A 5,374-nucleotide genomic window follows, 5' to 3' on the forward strand; every position below is an offset into this window, starting at 1 on the left:
CTTTCATTAGCATTCCACTTGATAGTTAGCAATAAGCAGAAATAAAATATTAGGACTTTTAAGAGAAGAGATTACCAATTAGTACAATTCTCCACTGGCACAAGATAATTATTAATTATGATCATCACGGTAATTATTCACCAAGCTAAATTTCACAGGGCTACCTGTGTGCAGATTCTCTCTGTACTGCATTCTGACATCAGCAGTCTTCTTATCTGCTATGGAAATCCTGAAGCAATATTTGTATGAAATACACAGTTGACTGCACACCAAATGGAAGGGCAGCTGCAAAGGTACAGGATGAATCTCCATTTCATTAAAGGATCTCTTCTCTTTGTAGGGCATTGCAAGGGGACTATGTAAAAACATATACCTTCAGAAAAGCATCACTAGTCACATATGTGTTTTCTAATCACATATGATACAACTGTATCAAAACTAGCCCTCTCACTGTCAGCTCTTGCATTCTCCTGATATTGCCATTCACATCAACACCATTTATAAATAAAACAACAACAAATAAAATTTAAGGATTATTGATCGCTCAAGGACTAATATTATGTAAATAAGTTAGAAAAATATCTACAGGCATCATGGTTTTCAAATTACATCGACATCACCACTGATGTACTAAAATATAAAGTCATTATTCAGAAGTATGTTAATTCTTATACATAAATACACTTTATATGATACCACTAGGCTGGGCGTGGTGGCTCTCACCTGTAAACCCAGTACTTTGGGAAGCTGATGTGAGAGGATTGCTTGAGCCCAGGAGTCTGAGAACAGCTTGGGAAACACAAGGAGACCTCGTCTCCACAAAAAATGAAAAAATTACCTAGGCTTGGTGGCATTGGCCTGTGGTTCCAGCTACTTGGGAGGCTGAGGCAGGAGGATCACTTGAGCCCAGCAGGTCGAGGCTGCAGTGAGCTGTGATTGGGCCACTTCACTCCAACCTGGGTGACGGAATAAAACTCAGTCTCAGAAACAAAAAACAAGAAACAAAAAAATCCACCATATTCTGCTCCAGTTTTTCTGTCTGAAGTGAAAGAAGTTTCCGAAGGTTCAAGGGAAATAAACACCAAATGCAACCGGGAAAGAAAGACAATTTGCTGGAGTGGACAGCACTAGATTGGGAATCAGATGAGTCAATACTAGTCTTGACTCCGAATTTACATGGTTACTTTCTTGAGGTAAGTTATTAAACTTCTCAGAGCCTCAGGTTCTTTATTTGCACTTGGGGACAATACCTCTTCTGCCTTTCTTGGGAGGCTGTTAGTCGAGTCAGATGAGACTCTATGCAAAATAATTTTTACAAGCTATGAAGTGTTGTTCAAATATAAGGCAACTTTTAATAATTCAAAAAAATCACATTTAACTTAGACTGTTGAATGTTTCTTGAAAAAATAATTTTAGAGTGTCACATAGCCCAAGTTTATGTTTTTACTCAGTAGACAGGACGGAAAAGTCTAGAACTGTCAAAAATGGAATTAAGGTAAGATATTAGAGTTTCTTCAATCTCTGGATTAGGAATTGGTGACACAAAGTATGAAGCAAGGTTTCGTTGTCTTGGTTTTTGCATATTTAACAGGAAAAGGCAGATAGCTGATGTTTTGAAAAGGAAGAGCATGTGGGCCACCCTACTTCTAGGGGTGGGAGATAGAGGAGAACAACCTCTGGGGAGCCTTTTCAGGGTCAAGATCATCTGCATTAGTCACCCGGATGCACTTCTTTGCTGTGGTGACTGCATCAATCAATGTGCTGCTGATTCTAAAGAGAGGAAAAATAAATTTCAAATGACTTTTTTTCACTGCTGTTCATGTTTGCTGCCAATGTTTGCCTCCATGCTTGAAAACATGAGCAAAGATTTGTTATTTGGAAGAGCTCTATTTCTCATGTTCAAATAGCTTCTGCTCTAATGGGGACTGAGAAGAGATGGGGGACATCCACTATCCAGTGGACATATTTGCTCAACAAAACAAAAAATACCTAAGAGTAAAAGCAAAGCAATTTGTAATGTGGTGTTTGTTATTGCCTACCTATACTTCTTGAGTTGGATCAGAAACAAAGGCAGACAGACATGGCTCAAATTGTCTTTGGGCATTTATCATTTTAAGTGTTTGAAAAGTCCAGCTTCTGTAAATACCAGTGCTATTAAAGATTTATAGATGCAACAGTCATTTTCTTGGTAATTTAATTCTGTTACAAGTTAAAAAAAACTAACATCTATTATAGGCCACATTTCTGAAATATCTGTCAGGAAGAAAATATATATATGAATTTTTTTGCCTTATGAACTGATTATTTTTAGCAGCTTTTATAAGCATAATAATAGTAATTTAAGCAGTTAATTTACCAAAAATCATTTTATTCCAAAACCTGAAAGCCCTCAAATCAAAGGGTTCTCTTTGTCTAAAAAGTTAAATCAAAATAAATGTTTCTAGTTAGTTTTAAGAGGAGAAATTAGGGTTTCTTAATGCTCAAATATTTAGCAAGCTCTCAAGGAGGTGTAGGGGGAAGCAATCTGCCTGTCATAGGAGAGAAAAAAAAAATTAAAGAGCAGAATTTTAAAATTGTACCTCTTGACACCAATAAATAACAAGAGAGAGCTAGTACCATTCTTTAACAGGCGTGCATGCAATACAATAAGCAAATCTGACTCATCTGCCAGCTTGATTGCTTTGTTTAGAATTCCACTGTCAGAGGTAAGGTGGGGGTGAGGGGATTTATGTAAATTAGGCCCTTCCAAGCTGGAAGAAAGTTGGATTATTTAAAAAAAAAAAAAAAACTTTTCCAAGTTTAGAAAGTTAGAAGTGTTTTTGTTCCCACACTCTTCTGAATAGCAGTGACTTGAAGTTCTCAGAATCAGGTTAAAAATATTATCTGGAAACCATGGCTATGAATTTCCACAGATTTCTCAAAGCTTTGAAGGCAACTGTGATCCATATCTTCCTGCCTTTCTGGTATTACCATGTGTGAGTGCTGGGAAGGGAGGGTGGATTTTTGGATGTGATATTTAGTTTCCTGTTTCTAAAATGGGATGAGTGTAATCAATCAGATTAATCTAAGAAATAAACAGTCATTTGTCTGAAGGTTTCGTAAGGTGATGAAACTGCAATTTGTTTATATTCAGTTGGAATTCATAGGAAGGTGCTCCTGGAAATCACTGTCTAGTACTCTAACATTGTGGGCACTTTTGTTTCATTTTGTTTTACAGAATATCAGGGGGCTGGAGTCTAATTCTTAGACTCTGATTCCTTACCCTGATGATCCCCAGGGATCTGCAATAGAGAGATGAATTTAATTCACTTAAAGCATTCTATAGATACAAGCTACATAATACATGTACAGGGTGGGAATGTTGCAGAAATGACACAAATATAGGACAGCATAAGTTCAAACCCACACCAATTGTTGGGGTATTTGAGAGCACACTCTTCTTGAGGGGAGTTTGGTTTCAGGGCAATGGCTGGAGGGTGACTGTGGGGCTCCAGTAGGTTGTCCATTTATGCATCACTGCGATGATCCTCCCTTCTAAGCTTCAGTCTGATCAATAGCCATTCATGAGCTGATTGTGAGAATCCTCCAGCTCCCATAGTGAGTGTCTTAGAGGAAAAGAAGAAGAAAGAGAGCAGACCTCCAAGACTCCATTCCCCTCTGGAAAAGCAGTAAGCCTAAAGGCTAGCAGCAGAGATCTGGGCCTGTGGTTCTCAGGTGTTATGGAGAGGAAGGGCAGCTTTGACCCGTTTTGGTTTGGAGAATATCCGCTGATATCCCTCATCCCAGAGAAGTTAAGGGACAGGGGACTCACTTTCCCTCTCTGTCTGAGGTGGAGCACATGAACATTTGCCACTAAGGAGACCAATCTTTGCTGCTTCCTGTGGTCTTCATGACTTACCAGCTGGAACTTTGTAAGCCTGCAAGGATATAAATGTCTCCCAGAACCCACACATGTTCCAGTATTTAAAGTACTAGCAGCCTGAATTTATATAATAATAAAATACCAAATTGTTATATATTTTCTTCATTATATTTTAACTCAATTTATTATCATTTTATTATTTTTAAAATGCAGGAGTGAAGGGTAGCATGGCTATGCATAGAATCCCCTGTTAGATGGTTACTCTAACATTAATTAATATTGTTCATTGGGAGCTTTGCATGATATAGCTTTAAGCAGAGAATTGGAGAGAAGAATTCATCAACTGTTAATATTTTGCCATATTTGCTTATGTATGTGTTTATCTGTATATATACATGTCTATCTAGGTACATTTTTTTCCTGCACCACATGAAAGTAAGTGATAAACATAACATTACACTACATACTTCAATATATGCTAAGGATAAAAACATTTATTTACCAAAACACAATTTTTCCACATATTAAAAATTATTAATTCACTAATATCGTTTAATACACAGTCTTGCATAATTTTCATTTGCCTGAAGAAAAAATGTTAAGTGTAGCCACTTATTTTAAGCTCAGAATCTAATCAATATTTACTCTTTGGGTTGGTTATATTTGCCTTTAGTCTGTTTTAATCTAGAAATATTATTCACTGAACTTTTAATTTGTTTTTAATAACATTAACTTTTTAAAAATAGTCCAAGTAGATTGCATTGTAGAGCATCCCACATGCTGTATTTGTGTTTCCTCATGCTTAGATTTATGCAAAAGATTTTGGTAAGAACAATCTTCAGTTCTTATAAGTGCTTTGTACTGCTTTACAACCAGGGACTTTTAATGTCAGGTTGCTCCACTATTGATGTTGCCACATATTATCACTTGACTAAGGTGGTGACTCTCATATCTCCTTATTATAATGGTACGTGATTAACTTTGTAATAGTAACTAATCAAATGGATGAAAAGATCATTCTTTGAGAAAGCTTTTTTGGAAAAACCTTCTCTATATTTTGATAAAATAAGCTGTAGAATCCTGCAAATTATAAGAAGTGTAATGGTTATGTGAGATGAGGAATAGGGACAAGTCCTGATGTCATGTACTCCATTTGTGTTCTGGGTTGTTTGACCATTTTATTATCTTAATAATCTTTAGGGGAGACTAATGTCAGAAAGATGGCTTAATAAAAGTTTCCAGCACTTGCCTTCTCACAGAAACATTAATTTGAACGATCATCCTTGCAAAAAACTACCTTCAGAATAATTAAAGGATCAATGTGAGAGATCACTGGACCTGGAGGTGCACAAATAATAAAAGGCACATTGAAGAGAGTAGAAAGAAGAGTTTCACATTACTCATGAGATTCCTCCCTCAAGCTCACACAGTGCAGTATTGAGAGACATATCATCTGCATAAGGAAAGGAGAATGAAGTGAGAACCTGACTTTACCATGGACCCCAGTGCCAG

The 5,374-nt window shown here is 36.7% G+C and overlaps 1 annotated feature.

The window, feature by feature from the left end:
* Positions 3,393 to 3,894: an enhancer, noted in NCBI's record as "OCT4 hESC enhancer chr9:82664925-82665426 (GRCh37/hg19 assembly coordinates)". NCBI's record gives its function as "activates a minimal SCP1, AML or CMV promoter by ChIP-STARR-seq in primed H9 embryonic stem cells {active_cell/tissue: H9 hESC(primed)}" and the evidence as "EXISTENCE:reporter gene assay evidence [ECO:0000049][PMID:30033119]".

The sequence above is a fragment of the Homo sapiens genome, chromosome 9, assembly GCF_000001405.40.
Source record: "Homo sapiens chromosome 9, GRCh38.p14 Primary Assembly".
Lineage (NCBI taxonomy): Eukaryota > Metazoa > Chordata > Mammalia > Primates > Hominidae > Homo > Homo sapiens.